At 58.1% G+C, this 24,942-nt stretch overlaps 1 protein-coding gene across 28 annotated transcripts in view, besides 4 other annotated features; it reads right to left on the bottom strand.

The window, feature by feature from the left end:
- Window positions 1,738-24,942, bottom strand: part of MCF2L (MCF.2 cell line derived transforming sequence like) — a 205,408-nt gene continuing 182,203 nt past the window's right edge. For 10 of the 28 annotated variants that reach the window (NM_001438391.1, XM_011537483.3, NM_001438390.1 and 7 more), the window contains 20 exons: window positions 24,269-24,428; window positions 23,044-23,117; window positions 22,741-22,814; window positions 20,201-20,267; window positions 18,938-19,053; window positions 17,413-17,482; window positions 16,496-16,588; window positions 16,302-16,394; window positions 15,231-15,356; window positions 14,024-14,245; window positions 13,681-13,773; window positions 13,075-13,153; window positions 12,852-12,918; window positions 11,752-11,870; window positions 11,320-11,412; window positions 10,285-10,359; window positions 6,845-6,966; window positions 4,997-5,109; window positions 4,827-4,930; window positions 1,738-4,706 (listed from right to left, as the gene is read on the bottom strand). In NM_001438391.1, the coding sequence (NP_001425320.1) occupies window positions 4,621-4,706; window positions 4,827-4,930; window positions 4,997-5,109; window positions 6,845-6,966; window positions 10,285-10,359; window positions 11,320-11,412; window positions 11,752-11,870; window positions 12,852-12,918; window positions 13,075-13,153; window positions 13,681-13,773; window positions 14,024-14,245; window positions 15,231-15,356; window positions 16,302-16,394; window positions 16,496-16,588; window positions 17,413-17,482; window positions 18,938-19,053; window positions 20,201-20,267; window positions 22,741-22,814; window positions 23,044-23,117; window positions 24,269-24,428 (2,046 nt within the window). In that variant the 3' untranslated portion in view covers window positions 1,738-4,620. Of the gene's footprint in view, window positions 4,707-4,826; window positions 4,931-4,996; window positions 5,110-6,844; window positions 6,967-10,284; window positions 10,360-11,296; window positions 11,606-11,751; window positions 11,871-12,851; window positions 12,919-13,074; window positions 13,154-13,680; window positions 13,774-14,023; window positions 14,246-15,230; window positions 15,357-16,301; window positions 16,395-16,495; window positions 16,589-17,412; window positions 17,483-18,937; window positions 19,054-20,200; window positions 20,268-22,740; window positions 22,815-23,043; window positions 23,118-24,268; window positions 24,429-24,942 lie in introns of those variants that run through there. The other 18 variants (NM_001438393.1, XM_047430222.1, NM_001438762.1 and 15 more) reach the window with 3 other exon arrangements.
- Window positions 4,689-5,189: an enhancer, noted in NCBI's record as "H3K4me1 hESC enhancer chr13:113750605-113751105 (GRCh37/hg19 assembly coordinates)". NCBI's record gives its function as "activates a minimal SCP1, AML or CMV promoter by ChIP-STARR-seq in naive H9 embryonic stem cells {active_cell/tissue: H9 hESC(naive)}" and the evidence as "EXISTENCE:reporter gene assay evidence [ECO:0000049][PMID:30033119]".
- Window positions 8,010-8,509: an enhancer, noted in NCBI's record as "H3K27ac-H3K4me1 hESC enhancer chr13:113747285-113747784 (GRCh37/hg19 assembly coordinates)". NCBI's record gives its function as "activates a minimal SCP1, AML or CMV promoter by ChIP-STARR-seq in naive H9 embryonic stem cells {active_cell/tissue: H9 hESC(naive)}" and the evidence as "EXISTENCE:reporter gene assay evidence [ECO:0000049][PMID:30033119]".
- Window positions 8,510-9,011: an enhancer, noted in NCBI's record as "H3K27ac-H3K4me1 hESC enhancer chr13:113746783-113747284 (GRCh37/hg19 assembly coordinates)". NCBI's record gives its function as "activates a minimal SCP1, AML or CMV promoter by ChIP-STARR-seq in naive H9 embryonic stem cells {active_cell/tissue: H9 hESC(naive)}" and the evidence as "EXISTENCE:reporter gene assay evidence [ECO:0000049][PMID:30033119]".
- Window positions 11,094-11,599: an enhancer, noted in NCBI's record as "H3K4me1 hESC enhancer chr13:113744195-113744700 (GRCh37/hg19 assembly coordinates)". NCBI's record gives its function as "activates a minimal SCP1, AML or CMV promoter by ChIP-STARR-seq in naive H9 embryonic stem cells {active_cell/tissue: H9 hESC(naive)}" and the evidence as "EXISTENCE:reporter gene assay evidence [ECO:0000049][PMID:30033119]".

The following is a 24,942-nucleotide window of genomic DNA, read 5'->3' as shown; positions in this document are numbered from 1 at the left end:
ATAGTTTATGAATTCACCTGGTTTTTCTAGATATGAAAAGTTATTTTTCAATTAGCATGCCTTGGTTCCTTTTTCTTTTTTTCTTTTTTTGAGATGGAGTTTCACTCTTGTTGCCCAGGCTGGAGTGCAATGGCGACATCTCGGCTCACGGCAACCTCTGCCTCCTGGGATCAGGCGATTCTCCCGTCTCAGCCTCCCGAGTAGCTGGGATTACAGGCATGCACCACCACGCCCGGCTAATTTTGTATTTTTAATAGAGACGGGGTTTCACCGTGTTAGCCAGGATGGTCTCGATCTCCTGACCTCGTGATCTGCCGCCTCGGCCTCCCAAAGTGCTGGGATGACAGGCCTGAGCCGCCGCGCTGGCCTTGTTTCCTTTTCCTTTGCGGTGGTAGTCACTAGTACTGCGGCTAAATGGCGCTGGAGAGTAGTGGGGCCCCGTTCAGTTCTGCTGCCAATGGGGATGGTTCTAAAGGATTTCAGTACTTAAAATTTTTGCTGCAGCCGGGCGCGGTGGCTCACGCCTGTAATCCCAGCACTTTGGGAGGCTGAGGTGGGAGATCACGAGGTCAGGAGATCGAGACCATCCCGGCTAACGCAGTGAAACCCCGTCTCTACTAAAAATACAAAAAATGAGCCGGGCGTGGTGGCGGGCGCCTGTAGTCCCAGCTCCTCGGGAGGCTGAGGCAGGAGAGTGGTGTGAACCCGGGAGGCGGAGCTTGCAGTGAGCCGAGATCGCGCCACTGCACTCCAGCCTGGGCGACAGAGCGAGACTCCGTCTCAGAAAACAAACAAACAAACAAACAAAAAAAAAAAGTTCGCTGCAAAGATTTTGTTTGATACATATTATTTAGTTAAAGAAATTTTCTTCTACTCCTAGTTGGCCTAACATGACAAGTACATGTTGAATAAAAATTGAATTATTGTTTTGCATTTGTTAAGCTGGTGATTTTACCCTTCACTTCATTAATATGGCAAATTATAGCCACATTAACATACTACCCCTTGCATTCCTGGGATGAATTTACTTGCTTAGAAAGTATTACCTTTATTTATAACACAGAATTGGGTTTTACTTAATTATATTTCATTTGGAATTTTTGCATTCATCTTCATAATTTTATTTTTTCTTACATTGTCTTTTTGTTTGGTTGATTTTGAGAGACAGGGTCTTGCTCTGTTGCCCAGGCTGGAGTGCAGTGGCATGATCATCATAGCTCACTGCAGCCTTGGACTCCTGGGCTCACTTGTAAGGTCTCAGCTTCCCAAGTAGCTGGGACTACAGGTATGTGCCACCATGCCCGGCTAATTTTTAAATTTCATGTAGAGATGGTGTCTTGCAATGTTGCCCAGGCTGGTCTCAAACTCCTGGTCTCAGACAACTCTCCCACCTCGGCCTCCCAAAGTACTAGAAGAACAGATGTGAGCCACCTGGCCCAGCTGATTCTTTTCTTACATAATCTTTGTCAGGTTTGGGTACCAAGGTTAAATTTGATTCATAACTTTATTGAGTTGCTTTCTCTTGTTATATTCTTTTAAATAGCTTTTATAAATATGTTTGTATGCTTACAAAATCACCTAGATCTGGTATCTGTTTGGGGTAATTTTTTTTTTAATTGCAATGCAATTTCTGTAACTGTTATTCATCAACCCAAGTATTTCATTTCTTCTTGACCAATTCTAACAATAAATCCTATTTATCTGTTTTCAAATATATTGGCAGAAAGGTGTTCATAATGGTTCTCTCATATTTAAAATTTTTTATTTGATATGGAGTTTCTTAGGTTTTCTATAAATTAGTCAGTTTTATTAGATTTTTCAGGTACAAAGTTTGAGTTTTGCTTTTGATTTTGTTATTCTCTTTTCTCAACTGTCCTAATTGACAGAAGTATTTAAATACTTTCTTTGGGTTACGCTAGTCTTATTTTTTTGGCTTAAATGGTTAACTCGTTCATTTTGTCATGTATAAAATCAGACACCACTAAGCTGTCGACACCAATCTGAGCTGGCCGTGGCTGCTCCCTCCCGTGGCTCTGTGCACGCTGTCCAGTTCTAGAGAGCAGACTGCCCGCATCCCGTGAGTTAGAAACAAGCTTTTAAATTGCCAAACAGTGTTTCAATGATCTTCCCATTGTTTTGCAAATATTTTGTTTGTGCTCCATGTGTGCTGGAAAATAACGCAGATTTCTCTACGTTTAGGGGCAAACAGGGATCACTTTTCATGACAGTCAACATTGCTGTCTGCCGACTGCCAACTTTGCTGTGTTTTGAGCTTTATAGTCAGTGGCTTATGAGTTCCTGATTGCCACGCAGCCCCCTTTACTCTATGAACTGTCCTGAATCCCATTTCAGGTCATCGATACTGCTACACCAGCTTTCTTATGGTGTTTGTCTGTTCTGTCTTCTTTTATTTTAAATCTCCAATCTATATATAAATTTGCTTGATGGTCTCTAAGCAGTGACTTGTCACGTCTGATCCGATGCTCTTCCAGGCCAGCATAACATGATCACGTCTGTTGTGAGCCAGACACATCTGGGCTGTCTCTTCCGTTACATGTTGTTTCCTGTTAACCATGCTTTCCCCTTTCTCCACCCTTCCCTTCTTCTATTGGATCAATACCCTTTCTTTATGCTCCCTTTTCTGGTCTGGAGAGTGTCGGCTGCATTGTGATTCTGTAATGGTTCCACTACGCTTCCTCTGCTGCCTTTGCGTTTCTGACACGCACAACCTTGTTGCTATTTTGTCATCATCGCCGTCTGACAGAAGAAAGCAAAGCGGTTGCTCGGTGCCTGAGCCGCACGCTGGGCCCTGCCCACTGCCGGCTTCTTTTCCGTCCCAACAATGACTTACCATGTGCAAGCACAGTGCACTGCGGCCCTGGAAACCCCGACTGCTGAGACGTTCTGTGTCTTGACAGACAAAGGCAGATGGCAGGAGTTGCTGATATTTATTCAAACGTCATCCATACAATAAAGAACTCTGCTTTTAAAATTCCATTTACATCAGCAGTTAAAAAAAAGTGACAGTGGATGAAACATGAAGCTGTAAAGTGCCTTTATGGGGAGGGTCACACAAGGGCGCGCAGCTGTGCGACGAGACGGAGGCACCGCGCCTGCACAGTACATCAGGGACATCGCGGGACACAGCACGCGTTCCAAATAACTTACACATCAGAGGAAAAGCTGCCGAGTCTCTGCATGCTTCCTATTTGATTCCGCACCCTGGAGGTCTGGCCAGTGACGGCTACAAGCCGCTGGGAGGGTAGCGTGAGGGGAATGCAGCCACGCCTGCCTCCACTGTGCTGGGGCTGGGAACCGTGAGGCTGTGAGGCGGCCCTCCCAGCAGCACGGGGACAGCGAATATGTCCTTTCCAGCAAGACACATATGTACACACATGGTCAGAGGTGCACACATACAAAAACATCTGCAGACTAGACACCGAAAGGGCTTCAAAAGTTTTGAACAGAATATGTTTCTGAAACACAAGAAGTTGGTAAAACAGAAGAGTTTTTTTCCAGTTCTGCTGTGACTTGAATAAAATACTCTCCCCACTTTCACTTCTGTACTCAAGGTGGTCACCAGGTGGCAGGTGGACCTGGGTGGGAGGCAGGGGGCGCGTGGGGAGTGGAGTGGAGGTGCGGCCTCCGAGGAGGCTGCAGTGCAGTGAGGCAGGGGCAGGGCTCTCTGAGCTATGGTCGGCAGCACTGGTCCACGCCACACCCTGCAGAAACTGCATCTTTGTATTTTCTTTAAAAGCAATAAAAATATCCTAATTCAGTGAAGCTCTTTAAAAAAATCAAGTCCCTGCATTTTTTTTGTAGAAAAGAACGTTAATTGTTTAAATTATAGTTTAAATTTTCTTTTGAAAATGAACCCTAGGTAGATAAAGGAATCTCCTTGGCTTCTAACTGCTTTTGGTGGTGGAGACACCACCTGATGTCACCCACGGACACGTTTTCATCCACCTGTGACCAGGGAGCTTCAGGGAGTGCCATCCGTTTCCATGGGAGAGCCCCCCCAAAGTCACTTAGTGGTATAAACAACGTGCTTCTATGTAAACCCCGGTAACAAAAAAATAGTTTTCTATCAAATACAGTATCAAATTGTCATTTCATGTAAACACAGTGATTCCTGGTGAAGAATTGAGGCCAAAGTACCACAAAAAATGGCCACGGGATTGATCCCTGCTTGAAAAAATCCTAAAACTTGTAAAAGCTAAAGAGACCCCGTGCCCCGCTCTCCTCAGGCCGTTGGCCAGAGGATCCTCCACTTCTCCGGAAGCAGCTCCACCACGGTCCGCGCGTCCCCTGAAAGCACCGTCCAGAGGCAGAAGCAGCACGGTGGAGCCAGGACGAGATGCCGCTGCCCGGCGCCTGCCGCCCGGGGCTGTTCCCTGCGGCCCCTCCTCTGTGGGCTCTGGAGTCTCCGGGGAAGCCCCAGCGGGCCGGGGTCTTCCGTGGAACCTGCCTCTGCCCCGGAGGGGTCCTCTGCAGCCCGCACGGCCAGGCGCTCTGGGTGGGGGCGGTGAGGTGCCCCTTCCTCGGGGCGTCCGGGGGCCGCGCCCTCCCCACGCCACCGCAGCCCCAGACAGCGCGCGGGTCTCCGGCGCCGAGGCCGCGCTACCCCTGCAGGTCGGAGAAGGGGGCCTGGCCGCCCTCGCTGCAGCTGGACGAGTTGCTCAGCACGGCCGACCCCGGGCTCGACTCTGCGGGGAGATCAGGCGGGGACGGGCTTCGGCGTCGGCTCTGCCGGGCACACACGGGGCAGCTTCCTCGCCCGGGCCCTTGGCAGCGTCACGGGTGGGCTCGGGGCACGTGGGCCTTACCTGAGCTGCTCAGGCACTGGGCCGAGCCGGACGGGCCGAGCCGGACGGACAGGCTGCTGGCCGGCACCCAGCCCTCCTTGCCAGTGGTCGGGTCCCTGACGTACCTGCAAGGGGCGAGGGTCAGCGGCAGCCACGTGCGGGGCAGTCCGGGGCTGAGCGCGGGGTCTTACCAGAGGCCCTCGTCGCCCTCCTGCACCAGCTCCACCACGTCCCCGCTCCTCACGCGCAGCGCATCGGGGCCTCCCTTCTCGTGGTCCGCCACGACCGTGTATTTACCTGGAACCTGGTGGGAGACGGGCAGGGGCACAGACAGCGTCAGCACCCGCCCCGGCAGCAGCCCCACAGCAGCCAGGCGGAGTGCCGGGCCTTAGCGCCCTGCCCCGGTGGGAGCTCCTGGCCACGACCAGCTCCGGGGAAGGGCTCCAGCCTTGGGAGGAGGCTACGCCGCAGGGCATGACTACCGCAGCGGCGATGGAAGGCGTCTGTGAATCTGTCTTTGGGCCCAGCTGCCCCAGCCCCTCACGCTGGTCTCCACACACAGCTCTCGGCCCCAGGGCCTTTGCGCCTGCATACCCGCCTCCCGGAGGGCCCTTCCGTGCTTTCAGGTCTTATTTCCATGCTGCTTTGCTGAGGCCTTCCTTGGTACTCCCCGACTCGCCCGTCCTCTGCCCTCCCTCTCCCTGCAGCTGTCCTGCCCAACCTCCCCAAGCCTCACTCCTCTTTCTCTCCTCACTGTAAGAGTGGAGGTTCCTGTCTGTGCTGTTCCCGCTTTGTCTCCGGGGCCTAGAACTGTGCCTGGCACACAGCGGATGCTGCACAGATGTCATGGAACACGTTCCGTTGGGGAATGGGGACCCAGGAAGCGGCAGCTGTTCCTACAGAGTGGGGAGATTCACAGCCTCCTGGTGCTGCGTGTGGTGGGCTGCGGAGGGGTGCTGCCGGCTGCAGGGCCTGGAGCAGGAGGACGGTGACTGGGCCACCTGCCCTCACGTGATGGCCTGGAGCAGGAGGACGGTGACTGGGCCACCTGCTCTCACATGATGGCCTGGAGCAAGAGGACGGTGACTGGGCTGCCTGCCCTCACGTGATGGCCTGTACTGGCTCCTGCCTCTGTGGTGCCCAGAGTAGCCAGGATCACTCCCCACACCCCACAAAGAATGAGATCCAAATCCCTCCCCAGGCCCCGTGCACCCTGTTCCACCAGCCTGTTTCCCCTCCTGCCACGTGGCCTCCGCCTCTGTGTCCCCCACATCTGTTCTCACGCCCAGGCCTTCCTTCATGCTGTCTCTGTGGGAGAGGCCAGAGGCCCCGAGGGCTCTCCCTACCCTTCCACGCCTGGCTTCTCTGCCCTTCCAGAGCCTCCGGGACCTGTCCCCTTTGCACCTCCAGCCTTGGGGCATGGACCACGCACAGCACAGAAGGTGCAGCAGACACTTCTTGGTGTAACCCTCACTGGAATGATTAACACATGGCAGCTTTTTCTTGCTTCTGACATTAACAATGAATGTTTTTTCAAATGCAAATCCATGCTTAGCAGTTCCATTTTCTTACAAAATGAGAATTGTATGTATAGTTAGGAAGGCTCAGTGACAGCATTCTATGACATAAAGGGTAGGGGGGTGGGGACTGTCTCCTCTGAGGAAGGTGCACCCACGAGTGGGCTCTACAGGAGGCTGGGTGGGCACCTGGAAATTAACCCAGAAACACAAAGTGCTGCTGAGACAGAGGAGCTAGGAGGAGCTGGGGCTGCATCCTAAGACCCAGGCCCAGGTGGACCTTCCAGAGAGAGTTAGGAGGAGCTGGGGCTGTGCCCCAAGACCCAGGTCTGGGTGGACCTTCCAGAGAGAGTTAGGAGGAGCTGGCACTGCCCGTAAGACCCAGGCCCATGTGGACCTTCCAGGGTTAGGAGGAGCTGGGGCTGTGTCCTAAGACCCAAGCCTGGGTGGACCTGCCAGAAGCACCCCTAATCCCCGGAGGGCAGCCCCCACCCCAAGTGCCCACAGGGAAGCCGTGGTTACCAGCTTCTTGGGGCCCAACCCGCCGTCCTCCTCTGCGTCGGACGAGTTAATCTGCTCCTCTGCACTTGACCAGCCCCCGTCGTCCTCAGGTGCCTCCAGTGAGTGGGACGTTTTGCTCCAACCTAAGAGAGACAGACACCCGTGAGGGACCCCCCGGTGATGAGCCGCTGTCTGCATCTGTCTGAGGTGGGGTCAGCTAAGTCCCACAGACCCCCTGAAATGTGTGCCGTGGGCCCCCAACAGAGCCTGTCATCTTCCCGGGTTCATAAAGAGCTGAGCAGGACACCCCTGCAAACTTCCAGAATGCCTGGCACGTTTCAGGGTTTGAGACCATCTGCTTCCAATTGCTGGGCCACCCTGTGGGAGACCTCGATCCCCAGGCCCTGGGAAGCCACGCCCTTGTCAGGCAGGGCAGTGCCCCTCAGCCAGGAGGGAAGCAGCCTTCCTGCCGCAGATGCCCTCCCAGGCAGGTGTTTTCAGTGAGTGCCACGGTCATGTTCAACACCTAGCAGACCGAGCCGGGAAGCAGTTTCTAAAGTGAATGACTGAAGCTCACTGAGAGGGCCTGACGCCCTTGACCTATGGGATACCGAGGGCTGTGGTCCCCACTGGCAAGAGAGTAGCCCCCGGCACAGCGGCACCGAACCGGAAGGCTGAGACCATGCAGGTGCCGCGGTGGAGATGGGCTCCCATCGGCCACGCAGCTCCCAGCGGGAGAAGAGGAAGGAGCTTCTTCCAGACTTGGGACCACACATGCCCCCCTCCCCAACCCAGTGTTCCTCCTGCCAGGCTCCCAGAGGGCAGCACCGGCCTTTCCCATGCGGGGGAGATGGGAGACGCCATTGGGGCTAAATAAACACGCAAAGCCAGCAACCAGGCAGCAGGCCCAGCGCATCCCACCTGCTGCCAAATGCATCGAGGCAGGACACATGCACACCAGGGAAACAGGCAGATGCTAACGAGATTTGAGCTTGGGCACAAACTGGTTCCAAATCCTATTTGGTACCACTGGAAGCAAGCGTTTCCTTGCGATGGAGGGTGTGGGGCATGGGGAGGACAGAGGAGCTGCGTGCACGGATGCCTGTGTGCCCTGTGCCTGCAAAGCCGCCACAGCAAGCTGTCTTGCAGGCCAGTTCCAATGGCTGACAGCGTCTGCGCTGGCAAGGAAAAGCCTGTGCTAAGCGGAACTCTGCTGTCTGTGCAGAGAAGGGAGCTGGGCCTGGGCACCACTGTCAGCCAGCAGAGCACGGGGCTGCTCCTTCCACCCCACCCGGGTGCTTTGCCTTCTTGGGGTCACAGCTGGAGGCAGTTGAGCCTTCCAGGCACCACACCAGGCCTGCATCTGTGTGAGAATTGAGGACTGTGATTTTCCGGTTGCAGACCTGCAGCTTGGCCTCCTGAGTGCACCTGCAGCTGCCCCCAGCAAGGGAGGCTGAGAGACAGCAAGGGTGGGGGCCCAGGTGCCTCCTCTACAGCAGCAGGGACTGGCCTGTGGGGCCTGGCTGCCAGCGTGCCCTCCCCGTCCAGGCCCCCAGTCGCTCTGAGGCACCGCACGTGGGGCCTCTGGCCAGACAGAACCAAAAGTCTGATTGAGGACAGTGGGAACAAAAAAAGGGGGGCTGCTGTGTGTGCACAGGAGCTGGTGTGGCGTGGGCAGGACCTTACACACGAACCTGTCCACAGGGGCAGCGAGGCCGGCCTGTGCGGGGTGAAACCCAAGCGACTCTGCCCCTGGCACCACCAGAGACACAAAAGGATTCTTGAGCTGCCCTGGCCGTGGGTGCTCAGTGCTCCCCAGAGCCTCTCTGCGGGCCATCAAGAGCGCTGTGCTGGAACAGGGCGCGGGGGAGGCCAACAGCAAAACGCAGAGGTCTGACCATGATGGGAACGGCAGTGCCTGGGAGTGGGCAGCCACAGGCCAGGCCAGCACTGCTGCACCAGGAGCTGGGGGATTCTGTGTGAAGGCAGGAGGCCGGGTGATGGCCAGGAAGGTGCCCTCTGTTTTCTGTAAAACAGCCATTGGCCTTTGCTCATTGGAGTCACCACCTGCAGGGCTTGGGGAGTGGGTGCTGGGCAGCGCTCAGGCCACCCAGAACCACCTGGGCTCACTACCACCAACCACAGCAGAAATGACCCACGGGCAGTGGCCCGGCTTCGACGCCACACTGGCCACGGTGGAAATGACCCACAGGCAGTGGCCCGGCTTCGACACCACACTGGCCACGGTGGAAATGACCCACGGGCAGTGGCCCGGCTCTGACACCACACTGACCACGGTGGAAATGACCCACGGGCAGTGGCCCGGCTTCAACACCACACTGGCTTTCTCGAGACCCTGCAAGGCTGTACTGTCTTCATTCATGGATGACGAGACGGAAGCAGAGGCTGAGCTTGGCCAAAGTGCAGCAGAAGCGGCATTTGGCCCACAGGGCCCACCCGGCCCACCTTCTCCACCAGGGACCGGCTCTGCCGACTCCAGTTCACAAGCGGAGAGGGTTTGACAGACAAGAATAGCCTCTCCCAGGAGACTGTCAACAGGGAAATGACTCCCTTCTCCCAAGCACTCCTGGGGCCTCGAAGCAGCAAGCCGGGCGCCCACCCACTTGCAGGCAGGACAGTCAGTAACGCCGGGCCAGCTCCCTGCCTCTGAACTCATGCCCAGGGTGGCCACAGCTTCTGCCTGGTTCTGTGAGGCTCGCTGTGTCATGTGAGGAGGCTGTGGAGGCGGGCGGAATGGGAAGGCTGGTTCTGCTTACACCCCTGGGAACCTTTGCAAATTTTTGAAAACTCAAGATTGCAAACATGAGCCCCGTCCCTGCACTTGAAGGTCCTCAACAGGCCAGGGGAGGTCTCTGGGCTTCACAGGGCAGTTTTCACCCTGAGAATATAAGGGAGGCAGGAAACGAGAAGGGCCAGGTTCCACAGGGAGCTCAGCCTCGTCGGCCCGGGAAAGGAGGGTCCGGGTCGGACAGGGAGCTCGGCCTCATTGGCCCCGGGAAAGGAGGGTCCGGGTCGGCCCTGCCAGTTGCTATGCTCTGTGTTCCCAGCAGGAAGTGTCGGGGCAAACTGTGCCACAGGGAAGGGCAGGGAACAGGGTGCCCTATAGCCGACAGCAGCCACTGGGCAGTGAGACCCCACCCAGCTCCACCCAGCACGGCCAGGTGACCAGCGCAGCAGCCGTGGCCAGCAGCCACCGACGGGGTGGGCAGTTCCGCAGGCTCCAGATAGACCTGCTGTGAGGAGTTGGCTGAGAGGCGTGCTGTCCTCGAGGACCTGTCACCAGAGCATCACACATTGAACACAACCGCGTGTCTGCCTCCGCAGCATAAAGACCCACGAGAGCATCCCCCTTAGGTGGCCTTGACGGCCACCTGACAGCCAGCTGGGCCGCGCTTCCTGCCAACGCAGAGTGGGTGCCGTGCCCGAGGGTGCCACTCTACCTCGCACACCAAAGGGAGTCGGGTCGCTCTTTACTTCATGCCGCTTGGCTTTTTTGTCAGGACTGGTAGGAGAAGCTGCAAGAGGAGGAGGAGGCAGAAATACAACCGGAGAGAGAGTGTGAAGGACGGAGGGAGGCGGCGAGGAGGCTGACCCGCGCTCGTGCTGGAAGGGGACACCGACGTTGTGGCCCCTTTCCACCGATGAAAAAGGAGCTTCTGTGAGCAAAACACAGGGAGCCGAGGGGCCGCGCAGTGAAGGAGGGGCCGGGAGGGCATGGGAGTGGGGGCTGCGGCACTCAGAGGCGTCCTTTCGGGGCCCGTCTCTAGGGACGTTTTCTTAGTTCTGCGCTAGCAGAGTTTGCAGCACCAGAATCTGTTGTTTGTTTGTTTGTTTCAAGTCTCAGGCCAACTTAAAAGCATTTTATAAATTGGAAAACACTCCTACTTCTCTGGAAAGAGCCCTTGTCCACGCTGGCCTTCAGGGCTTCCCAGAAGAGCCGCCTGCACGCCAGGGCCGGCTTCCAGGGCCTCCTGGGCCCATTTCCCCGCCATGTATTTCCCATCATGGAGCTCTCGCAGGTGAGCAGGGCATTAGACGTCTCCGTCTCAAGGGTCCCATCAGCCCTGTTCACTAGTGGATGCCCCAGAAGATGGCTGAGCGGCCTCTGCCACCAGGCGGAGCAGAGACACGCAGCCAGCAAGGTCAGCACCCTGCAGGGAACTCACCTGAGAAGGCGGGAGAAGGCGGGGGTGGGGGGCAGGGAGAGGAAGGAGGGGGCCTGGAAAGCCAAGGACAGCTCCGTTTCTGAGCAAGCCTCCATTTGAAAAGCTCGCCTTCATTTTCCCGAAGGAAAGCCACCTCTAAATAACTCTGGTGTCTGTGCGCGAGACACAGCATCAGGGAACACGTGATTGGGTGGAAAGAAACGCTTTTGCGTGGCCGCCCTTGTGACGAAGGAGGCACGAATGGTCACACACGATGCATGACAGACGCCACCACGGTGAGGGTGGGTTTGGGGCAGGCACTACTTTTACCTTTCTGACCTTTGAGGTTAGCAAAACCCTGCAGGGTAAAGCGCTTTCTGGAAAGCGCAGAGCTTTCTGAGGCAGAGCTAGTGACCGTGTCATCTATGAAGGAAGAGAAAGAAACTATGCAGAGGGCATCGCAACCCGATGCGGAGGCGGGTCCGGCTGTCGCAGGGAGGGCCCAAGGCGGCTCCGGGTTGCACGCTCGGCCGAGGCTCCTTCTGGGGCTGGCCTTGCTGATGCAGGGGTGCAGAGCAATGGAGAGGGAGGGGCTCTTCTGTGGGGTCCTAGGGCTCTGTTAAGAGGGGAGCAAGGGGCCCTGAATGCTCTGCAAAGCTTCTTCACACTGCAGGAAGCGCAGGTTTCTCGGATGCAGTGAGCACTCCGTGAGCAGCTCCGTGTGAGGCCTCCGTGTGAGGCCCGGTCCCTGCACATACCCACCTTTGCCCTTTTCGGGGGGCTTTGTCAGTGGCGCTGAGCTGACGTATCCCTCCAGGCTTAGGGGGTCTGTTTTCCTTTCTTCCAGCTTCTTGATGTTCCTTGAGTTTCCTCTTGAGGGACTGATGACATCAGACAAATCAAAAAGGAAATAGTGTGTTGCCTGGTTAGTCTTTCAGAACGCCCTGAGGACCTGAGGCATTCAGATATCTCTGAGCTCCCGGCCTGATCCTAAAGCAGCATCTCCTGCACGTGTTTCTAAGTTAAACCCGGACGGACTGGATGAGAGCAGACGCCCACCCTCCTGCTTCTGAGGGGCCACACACTTCTAAGTTAAACCCGGACGGGCTGGATGAGAGCAGACGCCCACCCTCCTGCTTCTGAGGGGCCACACACTTCTAAGTTAAACCCAGACGGGCTGGATGAGAGCAGATGCCCACCCTCCTGCTTCTGAGGGGCCACACACTTCTAAGTTAAACCCGGACGGGCTGGATGAGAACAGACGCCCACCCTACTTGCTCTGAAGTATGAGGCTTTTTTTTTCGGGGGGCGGGGGGGGGGGCGGGGGAGTGTTTCTTTTTTAAAACTACTGTTCTACGGATTATTTATTTAGGCCATATCCTGTTCCATGAATGATTAAAGGTAGCTTATATAAGAAACAGGATAAAGTGAAAAAAATAAGTGGATGAACAAAATAAAGAAAAAACAAGGGCAGAAGAGACACGACGAAGCCACGGTCAGGGTCGGAGTCTGAAACGTGCCCACGTGTGTGCTGGGCCATCAGTGCCGGCTCCCAGCTGAGCCCCGACTGTCTGAGGAGTGCTGGGGCGTGGCTGTGATCTGGACAGGCCATGTGCGCACTGCCGTGCTGTGGAACAGCCCACCCCGGGAAGAGCTGGAGAGGGACTGGGCATTGTCGGAGGCACACATCTGTGAAGTACACCCTCTGGGACGGACCCGTCAGCACATAAACACCAGGGGCCTCAAGGAAAACCCCAATAACCACAGGGTCCCACTGACAGAGGCCGAGGACCCTGGCGTGCAAATGGCCTGCTCGGGACTGCTCCAGAAACGCAGGCCTGCGGCAGCGTGTCCATTCTCACCTGGTGCTGGTCGGGGCCGGCAGGGGCAGGCTCTGTGACTGCTCCAGCGCCCGGTGCTGGCTGGCTTCTGCGAGGAGGGAGCAGACAAACCACGTGAACGAGCGTCTTTACTTCAACGCCGAGGCACCTTGCGCATGGGGGGACTGTGCGGTTGCTCTGAACATAGGTAAAAATGCACCTGGAGCGGAAGCTACGGGAAACGATCGCTTGAAGACAGCCTCACCTCTACAAGCCTGCAGCTGGCTGGTCAGCACTTTCCGAATTTCATTCACCCACGCGGCTTTAATCTCAGGAGTTGGCGCCTGTTTCCCCAAAAGAAACGCCAGGAGGTGAGTACTCAGGCCCCCGAGGAAACACGCTTTGGTTTCACTCTCGGAACATCCAAAGATAATCTTAGGAGTCAAAGGTCAGGTGGCTGCGTGTGAGGGGAGAGGAGGAAAGCACTGTGGGTGGCCCCGCATTGCGGGACCCTCTGTGCCCCATGCACGGGACTGACTGAAGAACTGTGCCTGGCACCCAGGGCACGGCACCCTCCCCACCGTGAGAATCGGCCCTGCGTGCCAGATGCACACTTGCACCGTCCAGGGACACATGAGCTCCCCTGGGGAGGGAGAGCCCGTTTCCTCGCAGCACCCCGTCTGATGTGTACTTTTCCCCACATTTCATTCTGGGTCCAGCTCAGGGTGAAGACAGCCCAGGGCAGCATCCTGAAGTGTACAGCGGCTGCTCCTGGGCTCGATGCAACTTCATGGCAGATCCTTGCACTGGTTCCCATGAGAAACCATTCGTGGCAATGTGTAAGAGGCCAGGGGTAGGGTGGGTGGCCCACCTGGACGATGTAGACCTCCTCGCGCGCGTTGTACCAGATCTCGAACTTCTTAGCATCTCCCTTCACGTTCTCCGTAATGCCAACGGCAGCCATCTGCGAGCAGAGAGTGGAGATGGGGTTCGCGTGCACAGTGAACCCACTGCCTTGTTTTTAAAAGGTGTTGGTGCAGGCACGAAATGATGGAAATACTTTGGGGGTGAGGGCTAAGAATGGCAGAATACCCCACCCCTACACCTAAGGCTGAGAGCTGGGTGTCAGCGTGGCCACCTCAGACCGAGTTACAGACTTCCCCCGTCGGGGTCTGTGGCCAGGAGCGTGCTGCTGCAGACCCGGCCTCACTTACGTTTAAGGACTGCTTGTAGCTGTAGGAGGGAGCTTTCTCATACCCCTCCCCATTCTCCTCCCTCTTCTTGCAGAAGAGCACTGCCTTCTCGTGCAGGAACAGGTGCCGCTGCATGGGCTTGAACCTGGCCAGCTCCTTCACCTTGGTGTGGCCCCTCTTGTGGTCGGTCCAGACGCTGAACGAGCCCTGCATCAGCAGCTTGCCCAGGTCGCCGAGATTCCCCTAAATGTGCGACAGCAGGGCTGTGTTCAGGACGGGATGGGCCTGGGGCCATGGACGCGCATCGCTGAGTGAAAGCAGCCACTCTGCAAAGCCCACCCACGGTGGGATTCCAGCTGCAGGGCGTCCCAGGAAAGGCAAGCTCGTGGAGACTGACAGGTCAGCAGGTGCCAGGGGCTGGGGGAGGAGGGATGGACTGGCGGGGCACATGGGCTTCTAGGACAGTGAAGCTGCTCTGTGTGATGCTCTAGCGCTGGGTGTAGGATGTTACACGCCTGTCCAAACCGCAGAATGCACAGCACCCAGAGTGAGCTCCAAGGGGAACGGCCCTCAGTCACTAATCAGCATCAGCGCTAGTTCACCATGTGTGGCAGGTGTGGCACCCATGCTAAATGTCAACACTAGGGGAAGCCTCAGGGCCTCTGATTTATACTCAATTATCTCACAAACCAAAAATTGCTGCAATAAATCAACTCTATTAGTTAAAAAAAAAACACCTGAGAATGAGTGCTGGGTGGACATAAAGACGGACAAAAGATGAATAAGCTGTGACCTGATGTGGGGCTCTACGGGGAAAGTGACATCTGCCTTCTGGGGCCACTTGCTCTAAGTCACCAGCCTGCAAATCGCAGCCCAGAAAACAGAAGTCACGTCTGCTCCGAGCCACGCCTCCTCCCCAGGAGAAGACAAGGAGTGAGGAGGTCTGAGCTGCGTTCCTGCTGGAGATGCGTGCCCTCCAAGCAAGGGACGCTTCCTGATTTTCTCCACGTCCCAGAGAGCCCAGTGGGGTCTGTGGACCCGGCTGTGGGGTCTGTGGACCCGGCTGTGGGGCCTGGGAGTGGGCTTATCTAGGGACCACCCCAGACCTCCTGCCCAGAACCTGCACATTCACACCAAAGCGAGGGGCGTGTGCAGGGAGGCCGCCAAGTTGCTGGGCTGGTGTATTCCACGGAGGCGGCGGGGAAGACCGGGCATCTGGGCGCCTTACGTCATAGCCGGTGATAGCGATGAGGTGCATGGAGTCGTTCACGGCCTTCAGGATGCCCAGGATGGAGCTCAGCGCCTCCTGCAGGTCCTCAGCCCCCTCGCAGTTCCTGCTGTATTTCAGCATTTCCTGAGGGGCATGGGGTGAGGCAACCGCGTCGGGACACGGAGAGCCCTGGCTCCCCTGGAACAGACCCCTCAGGAGCTTGGCACGAGGTAGGGATGCTGCTCACCCTCCCCTGGTCTGTGGGGAGCTGCCCTGCCTGCCCTCCTGCAGCTGGGACAGACTGAGTGGTGCTGCAGATGGGGCAGCACCCCTGCCAGGTGCAGACCCTTGGCACCTGCTCCCCGGGGAGCTCCCTCCTGCCACCCGGATGCCAGGTGCAAACCCCTCGCACCTGCTCCCCGGGGAGCTCCCTCCTGCCACCCGGATGCCAGGTGCAAACCCCTCGCACCTGCTCCCCGGGGAGCTCCCTCCTGCCACCCTGATGCCAGGTGCAAACCCCTCGCACCTGCTCCCCGGGGAGCTCCCTCCTGCCACCCTGATGCCAGGTGCAAACCCCTCGCACCTGCTCCCCGGGGAGCTCCCTCCTGCCACCCTGATGCCAGGTGCAAACCCCTCGCACCTGCTCCCTGGGGAGTTTCCTCTCGCCACCCTAACCCTGGCCAAAGGCATGGAGTTGCAGTTTCCTGCCTGAAGGTTAGAGGGACCCACATGGCAAACTCATAGCTGGAATCCCCAGTCTAGGCCGCCCCACGTCCCTGCTGTGTGCCAGATAATCCGGGCACGGCTCCACCCTGGAGGGACGGGTCAGCACATCACACAGAATCCCATGTGGGCTGGGCTGTGTGCCAACCCATGGGGACGGGGACTCGTCTGCTCACCTGCGTCCTCAGACCCCTAACAGTGGCGCACAGTAGGACCTCGAAAGGCATCCCAGCCTCAGCACAGGCTCGGAAGAGGTGCCCTTGGCCTGGGAGGGGCAGGGCGCGATGGGGACGGGGCCCCAGGGCGGCACAGACACCTGGCCAGCAGGTGCTGGGGAGGCCGGGCCACGGTCACCGCGGAGCCCACCTTGAGCAGCAGCTGGTACTTGGTGATCCTCTGCACTGGCTTCAGCAGGTAGGAGTCCAGGCTCAGCTTGTGGTCCAGCTTTCTCTGGCATTCCTGGAACCAACCCAGAGCCTTTGGTTTGCACAATTTTCATTATTCCTCAGGAGTCGGCTAGGAAAGGGAGTAACGTTCTAAAGGAAGGTCCGGGGACAAACCTGGAAAAACGGGCAGTCGGAGCACTGTCTCCACAGGCTCTCAGAGCGGGGCTTGTTCTGACAGTACTTCTCATAGATCTGGAAATCTTCCATCTGCACCGAGGGACAGGCACCGCATCACGCAGTGAGGGATGGGCAGCGCATCACGCGGTGAGGGACGGGCACCGCATTACGCGGTGAGGGACGGGCACCGCATCACGCAGCGTCTTCCCGGCCCTGCGAGGCATTGCTGCTGGCCCCATAGCTTCCGAGGGCCGGCACTGGCTCCCAGGCTCCGCTGGGGGGCCTGCCCTCCATTAATGGGGCTCCCTGTCCCAGAGCCCCTGACTTCCCAGAGCACAGGCGTGGAGTGGAGACGGGGTTCCACCGCAGCCATTCTTAGAAGGCCATTTATGGTGTGGTTTGTTGATTTGTTTATATAATAGAACTTCTAGCATTTTCTCTGGCAGTTTTACAAATTACCTGTTATTTAGCAAAAAACAGACCCTAGCCCCATTGTGAAGTGCAATTGCTCCTGGGTGCCTCTAGGGCACAGATGGTTCTAGGGGCACAGAAGGTTTTAAGGCACAGGGCTCAGAAGTTTCTAAGGGACAGGAAGTTCTGGGGGCAAAGGAGGTTCTGGGGGTACAGAAGGTTCTGGGGTTCAGGAGGTTCTGGGGTACAGGAGGTCCTGGGGTACAGGAGGTTCTGGGGGTTCAGGACGTTTTCTGGGGTTCAGGAGGTTTTCTGGGGTTCAGGAGGTTCTGGGGGTTCAGGAGGTTCTAGGGGTACAGGAGCATCATGGTATCTCAGCCAAATTGAAAACATCGTATTTTGTGATTTCAGTTGGTTAGAATAGGAACTTGCAGTAGAATCTGAAGTCATTATTCAGTACTTTTAAGAAGTTGTGACAAAATACACGTCAAAACACCACCTACCCTCTCCAGAAAGCATCTTCCAACCAGTTCTGGGCAGTCAGTGTAGTTTTCCAGCTCCCTGAGGAATATCCTAGACAAAGAAGGTTTTTAAGTAGTATGAAAGACAGGCCGAGTCACGTGGACCAGTGACAAGTGGATGGACGTCATTTTTCAGAAGCCTGTTACGCCTTGCTCTGGGCAATCTGCCCCGCATGACTTGGAGACGCCGCAGCCACGCCTGTCCTGAGCACCAAGCTCTCAGGCGCCAGCAGGTGCAGCCCCAGGCTGAGTCTCTTTATATTTCTGGCCTTGGCTGCACACAGAAGTTGGAGGGAGCTGCTTTTCCCTCAGCACACACACGGCTCACAGGGCCGCAGGCAAAGACAGAGATGGGACCTTTCAGGGCCCTGGAGGCGCCACCCCCATAACTGGCCGTGGGTCTGTGGGTTCTCTGCAGACACACCCTGAGCCCTGGCCCTAGGCAGCGCCGCCCCCAGGCTCCTGGGCTGTTTTCTGTTGCATCTGTCCCCTGGAGGAAGTCCGGCTGGAGGGGAAAACCGTCTGGGGGATGGATTTGGGGCATGAGCACAACAGCTGAAAGCTGTGGGGACCCCTGCGTGCAGGACTGGCTGAGACCCTGGGGGCCATGAGGACAGATACTAAGGGACACTAAGGTTCTGCCCAAGCTCCGTGGACGTGGAAGGCTCCTTGGTGGTCAACTGCAGACCTGCTGCCTCCTTGTAAGTGGCAGGTGAGGTGATGAGAGGGCAAGAAACAGGTGTCAGAACAACATCCCAAGCACTGGCGATTCCCATGGCCAGTGGGGCACGCTGGTCCCCAAGCACATGGCCGCATGGGAGCCACTCACATGGGTTCCTTCCAGGACACGCAGCGGGGGCTGTCCACTGCAGCCTCCCTGGCATTCTGCACTGCGTGTGCACCCTACACCTTCCCATGAGCTCCCCAAAACTGTGTTAAAGCAGCCAAACAGCTCAGAGGAGTGGAGGACAAGAGGCCGGACAGGCCACCTGCACTGGAGAGGCCACGGGTCGCTCGGGGGACAAGCAGCCCCCATGATGGGTAAGGAACGCCTAGTTTGCCGTCCTTTTCAAGAGCTTGGGAACAAAACAGGCCTTGCTATGTGGTATGGCCTTCGGTGACCCCCTAAAGGGCCGAATACACACCTGGGAGGGGGTTCCGGCTTCCACCTGCCCAGCAGGATGAGGAGGGGATGAGGGGCAGGCGGGTCCCATTTCCTGCACCACAAAACAGGGCGCACTCGGGCTCAGAGCCCTCTCCTCACGGCTGGCGGCTCACTTACAACTTGGCTGCCTAGACACAGGCCACCAGGTACGGTGCCACGTGGGCGCTCAGAGATGGCCCCATGTACCCACACTCAAGCCTGTGCCTCTGTGAGTCCACCCCTTGGGCGCCCCTCCCTAGCCAGGCATGGCCTGGCCTCCACCCCCATTCCAGCCCCCTGAAGCCAGCACCATTAGCTGCAAGAGATCACGGGTGCGTGCCTGTGTCGGGGGGAAGGGCCCACCTGTTGTGGAAGTGATAGATTTCCTCCATGTTTCCAAACAAAACATCCTTCTTGTTGTGAAGGCCTGTTGACAGGAGGTGAGCCATCAGTGGGTTATCCATCTCCGCGGCGTAGCCCTGCAGGGAGAGCGCAGAGGTCGGCGGGGGTCCTGGGCCTGATGCTGTGGGGGGGCAGGTGGGCCAGGGATGCCGGCTCATCTGTGGGCCAGGCCAGCCCTTCATCTTTATTCTCGGGTGATTTCTAAGTTACCGGGACAGGCATCCATCAAAGCAAAAGCATTATGAACAGCACCAATTTGGGGGAATGGGGTGGAGGTTCTACCCTTCTCCCTTTTAACCTTTTATGATTCAGGTGTAACTGAAACAGAGGGCACAAATCTTATGTCTACACTCGGGTGACCTGCTCACACTCAGTAAATCAGACACTCGACTACACTCAGGTGACCACCACCTGTGCACACTCGGTGACTCAGACACCCGTCTACATTTGGGTGACCACCACCTGTGCACACTCGCTGTCTACACTCAGGTGGTCACCACCTGTGCACACTCGCTGTCTACACTCAGGTGATCACATGTGCACACTCGCTGTCTACACTCAGGTGACCACATGTGCACACTCAGTGAATCAGACACCTGTCAACACTCAGTTGACCACCACCTGTGCACACTCGGTGAATCAGACACCCGTCTACACTTGGGTGACCACCACCTCTGAACACTCGGTGATTCGGACACCCGTCTACACTCAAGTGACCACCACCTGTGCACACTCGCTGTCTACACTCAGGTGATCACTACCTGTGCACACTGGGTGAATGAGATGCCTGTCTATACTCAGGTGACCACCACTCACATCAAGCTCACCCAGGCAACAGCCCACTGCCAAGGTCACCTCTAATCTGCCTCCCACCTCCGACGAGTTTTGCTTGCCCTGGAGTGCCCCGTGCCGGGAATCGCAGGCACCCTGTGGCCTGTGTTGGTGACGATGTGTGTGTGGTTTGTGCATCTGTTGTGTGTCAGCTCCTCTTTCTTATCACTACACTTGTCCCCTGTACGGACCCCCCTGAGCTGCCTGGTCTGTGTCTTGTTGATAGGCCCCCAGGGGCTCCCCGTCTGGGGCCCGACCAGGCTGCTGTGGGCGCTCTCTCACATGCATTTGGTGGACAGCAGGCTGCTCCGAGCAGCAGTTGTCAGAGGAAGCCCCACCAGCTGGCCCAGGGGAGTCCCCGTGGCAGTCGGCCCTCCCCGAGTCCAGCCTCACCTCCAGGACGCACAGCAGCTCCTCCACGTAGGCCCGTTCTGTGTCCAGGAGCTCGCTCATCACGTGCCTGGTGGCAGGTCATGTGGAGAGCAAAAAAGGTTAGCACTGGGAGAGCAGGAATGGTCTGCTCCACAGTCTCACAGGTGCCACCTAGAATGATGGCCTGCCCAGCAGGAGGGGACTGGCGGCGACCCAAAGCCCACAGGCTGGACGCTCCTCGGGGTTCCCCTCCCAGCTCGCGGCCTCAGACCCTGCAGACGGCGGCTGAAGCCTCCCTGGTTCCCAGACTGGCCGGCAGTGTCTTGCCCCTGGCCCGGCACACACCGCCTGGTAGGAGGGATTCCCAGACTCGCCTCCTGGGCTTTTGGGTCCCACCTGTGCAAAATGAGCTGAGTTCCTCACGCTCATGGGCAAGTCATCCTACTCCTAGGACCCATCCCTAGAATCCACCCGAGTCTCTTCTGCCAAGAAGACGCCCGCCTGCTGCCCGGCCTCCCTGAGCCTTCCTCGTGGTGGGTATCTGTGTGGCCCCTCGTGGCCAGGGCGGGGGTCTGGCATCGCCGGAGCTGCCCCCTGCCCACGCCCTCACACACAGCAGGTGGGCAGTGGTGGTCCGGGGAGTGACCCTGCACCCACCACACTGGATCCAGAAGGGGAGGGTGCACAAGCTGGCTGCGCAGGTCTTGCTGTGGGTGTGAGCACCTTTCAGCAGCCTACGGCCCTGCCTGCTTATGTGATGCACAGAAACTGGAGCCAGGGGGCTGGTCCTGGGTTGAGGTTGTTCAGCAAGCTTGTTCTAAGACAGCTGTCGGCCCGCAGAGGCCCCGGACTCGGCACAGGGGAGAGGACTGGGGAGCAAGAGGGCTCTGGACTCCCTCTCACAACCCAGGAACTGCCAGCCGAGGGCCACTCCTTCTGCGTCTCAGGGCCGAGCACTTGCTGCTCCTCCCTGCGGACGCCCCTCTGCCTAGACCCTCCTCCGTATGGACACTCCTCTGCCTGGACCCTCCTCCGTACAGACACTCCTCTGCCTGGACCCTCCTCCATACGAACACTCTCCTGCCTGGACCCTCCTCTGTGCGGATGCCCCCCTGCCTGGACCCTCTTCCGTATGGACTCTCCTCTGCCTGGACCCTCCTCCATTCAGACGTTCCTCTGCCTGGACTCTCCTCGGTATGGACACTCCTCTGCCTGGACTCTCCTCCATACGAACACTCTCCTGCCTGGACCCTCCTCTGTGCGGATGCCCCCCTGCCTGGACCCTCTTCCGTATGGACTCTCCTCTGCCTGGACCCTCCTCCATTCAGACGTTCCTCTGCCTGGACTCTCCTCGGTATGGACACTCCTCTGCCTGGACTCTCCTCCATACGAACACTCCCCTGCCTGGACCCTCCTCTGTGCGGATGCCCCTCTGCCTGGACCCTCTTCCGTATGGACTCTCCTCTGCCTGGACCCTCCTCCATTCAGACATTCCTCTGCCTGGACCCTCCTCCGTGCAGACGCCCCTCTGCTTGGACCCTCCTCCGTGTGGACAATCCTCTGCCTGGACGCTTCTTGGCAAGCCCCTCTTCCTTCCCATCCTGTTTCACCAGCTTCCATCAGAAGCCGGAAGTGACAGACTCAGCTTTCACACCAAGCTCAGTTTCCTGTAATTCCCAATTTTGCGCCGTCTCCCAACCCTGCAGGGTCACACTGGCGCTGCCTGCGGACACCTGCTTGTCAACACATCAGGAAGAGCCTTTTCTTCTTTCCTGATTTTGGAGTTTTGATGGTGAAAGGGGGAGACGTGGTTCCAAGCGTCTCTTGCAAACATATTCAGTGCAAATACTAAAAACGGAGACAGTGCAAAGTGTGAAGCCAGTGGCGGGTGCCTGGTCGGTGTGTGGCCTCCTCCTCTTCCTCGAGGGCCTCTGGGAGGGAGCCGCGTGTGCCTCATGGGTGTTTGGCTCCTTCCCAGTTTTGCTCTGGGGACCTGCATTCCCTGGCCCTGCACCAGTGAGGTCTTTCTTTCTTAAAGGTGAAGGAGGAAAGAGAACTGCTTTTGTTTGCACAACACTCCCTGAGTTTGAGGGTCCAGGAATCCCAGGGGAAAAGGAGGGCTGGAGACGATGCCCTCCCACACACCAGCTGCCTGGCACCACTGCCTGCCACACTGAGCCCTGAGCAGCTGGTGACTGCTGCTGCAGCTGGTGCTGGTTGGGGCCTTTGAGTGGTGTCTCCTGTGAATGGCAGTGGCGGGTGGAGGCTCTTGCTGGGGCGAAGATGCCCCTTCACTGTTGCATTCAGCCATCGCCCTCTCTTCCCTCCTGAATCCCGAGTGGTGTGTGTGCGGCGTGTGTGTGCTTCACGCGGTGGGGACCAGGACACACGCTCGAGCCACGGCAGGCCCTCTGGGTATCGGTTGGTGCAAAAGTAAGAACCACAATGACTTCTGCACCAGCCTTCTATCTGTGAGGCATCTGCTCGAGTGCCTGACGGCATCTGGTGGTTCAGGCTGCGGTCGGAGGGCCCCTGTGAGGACAGAAGGGCAGCGCACCCACCTGCGCAGGATGGCCAGGCTTTCCTCCTCCTCCCCCGCTGAGCCGCGGCCCTGCCGGCTCTCACTCATCTCACTCTGGGGAGAAAAACAGCGTCAGGTCTGAAAGGCGGGACGGAACCTCAAGGGCCAACTCTCAAGGCCAGAGCCCACCAGTTCCCGTATGGGGACAGGGCTGAATTCCCACGATGGGGAGCTGGCCAGGTAGCTGGGCAGTGCCCGGGAGGGGGGGCCACACGGAGAACCAGGCCCAGCGTGAACCAAGGAGGGGGGTGTGGATGGCGGGGTTGTCTTGGGCAAGCCTCACCTTGGCCCTCCGGTAGGGCCCTCTCCGGAGCGCACCGCCCTCGGAGCTGGAGTTCTCAGAGCCTCGCCGAATGCCTGTTGGGAAGAAGGGGAGCGGGGCATGAAGTCCCCTCTGACCCTCTGGAGAGGGGAAGTGCACCCAGCGGGAAAAGGCCCCGAGGAGAGGGTAGGACTCGGCCTCTGAGGCCACAGGTGGTGGCGTGGGCAGGACTTGGCCTCTGAGGCCACAGGGGGTGGCATGGGCAGGACTTGGCCTCTGGGGCCACAGGTGGTGGCGTGGGCAGGACTTGGCCTCTGAGGCCACAGGTGGTGGCGTGGGCAGGACTTGGCCTCTGAGGCCACAGGTGGTGGCGTGGGCAGGACTTGGCCTTTGAGGCCACAGGTGGTGGTGCGGGAAGGGGGAGGACGGTGGGGCCTCACTGCCCTGAGTCACCCCACGTTCCCACAGCCCACGGGGACACAGCGCCTGTGGGCTCCGACCTGGGAGAGCTCCCAACAGGCAGAAAATAAGGTCGCCTGGGACCCAGCACAGGAAGGCAAGAGCCTGGCCCCCGGGGCCCCTGAGATTGACAGCTGACTTTCGCCAAAGCTGGGGCAGCAGCTCGCCTGGTGGGTTCGTGTGTGAGAAACCAGCAAGGATGGGAAGAGGGTTCGTTTTGAGACACAGAGGTGGCGGGAAAGTCTCTGGGAAATGGCGCCGTGCCTGGCTCGGCATAGAGGGCGGGTTTGGGACCAGCAATGCGCGCCGGACTGAGGTGCGCGGACGTGGCTCTTCAGGGCTCCTGGAGCCCAGGGTCTGGGCCGTGTGTGAGGAATGTTGTTTGGCAATAGCACCGGGAAAGGACAGACCGTGGAGAGGCTGGAGCTGGGAAGGCCGGAGATGGTTCCTCTGTGGGAGCTCTGTGTTTCCAGTTTTGGGCCACGTGGGCTTCACTGAGACCACTGAACCCTGCCAGCCTCATGGAAAAGCAGCCACAACGATGCCTACAAGATGTGCGTGGCACAGGATGGGCGTGGCCGGGTCCTGACAAAACTCCATTTATAAACATGGGTGAGGGGTGGCGGGAACCGGCCCTCAGGCCCTGAACTGGGGCCCGGAGGTGGAAGGGGAGGAGGCGTGTGGAGACAGTTTTCGCAGGTGGCTGCCTCAGATGTACCAAGCTCTCAACGCCCGGGGCTCCCCCGAGGGTCCCACAGCACCCGGGGCACCGGGCGGCCACACAGACCTGGGGAGGGGCAGGGCGACTTTGCCAGTGCCTCGGGTCTGGGGGCCACCGGCTGCACGGGCCGCGTCTGCCTGGCCGCCAGCTTCTTCAGGCTGGCCTGCCTGCGGTGGAACACCTCCTCCATGCTTGCCTGCTTCTGGAAGACCTTTCGCACGTGCTCCTGAAACCGCATGCTCAGTAAGGTGCCTTGCACATGTTGGTGTCATCACTAAAAATACACAGTCAGGCGCAGAACGTGCCGGGGCACGCCCAACCCCCGCTTTAAATGTTCTCCATGCGGGGTCTGTCAGCGCAGCGCAGCTGTGTCCAGCCCTGGCCACTACGGACGGAGAGGGGGATGCAGCCCCCACACGGGACGGGGCCCCGGCCTCGGGAAAGGGCAGCTCCATGCGAGGGAGGGGCCTGCAGCCTTCCCCAGGCATGTGGAGGGCTCAGGAGGAGCCTGGTCTCAAGGGCATCACCAGGTCCCAGGGCCAGGCCCTTCCTGAAGAACACACCCATGCCACAAAGTCTGCCAGCGGAGGCGGGATGGCCACCTCGCAGGGTTGGCGTGGAAATAATTTCTGTGTTGAAAGGAAAATTCAGCTTGACCTCCCAACTGTGTGTTTCTCTCATATGCCTATTATTTGGTAGTAATTCATTAAATGGGCCAGGTGCGGTGGCTCACACCTGTC

This window comes from Homo sapiens, chromosome 13, assembly GCF_000001405.40.
Source record: "Homo sapiens chromosome 13, GRCh38.p14 Primary Assembly".
Taxonomy (NCBI): domain Eukaryota; kingdom Metazoa; phylum Chordata; class Mammalia; order Primates; family Hominidae; genus Homo; species Homo sapiens.
Note: the sequence above shows the minus strand (reverse complement) of the source record. Positions and strands in the feature narration are given on the sequence as shown.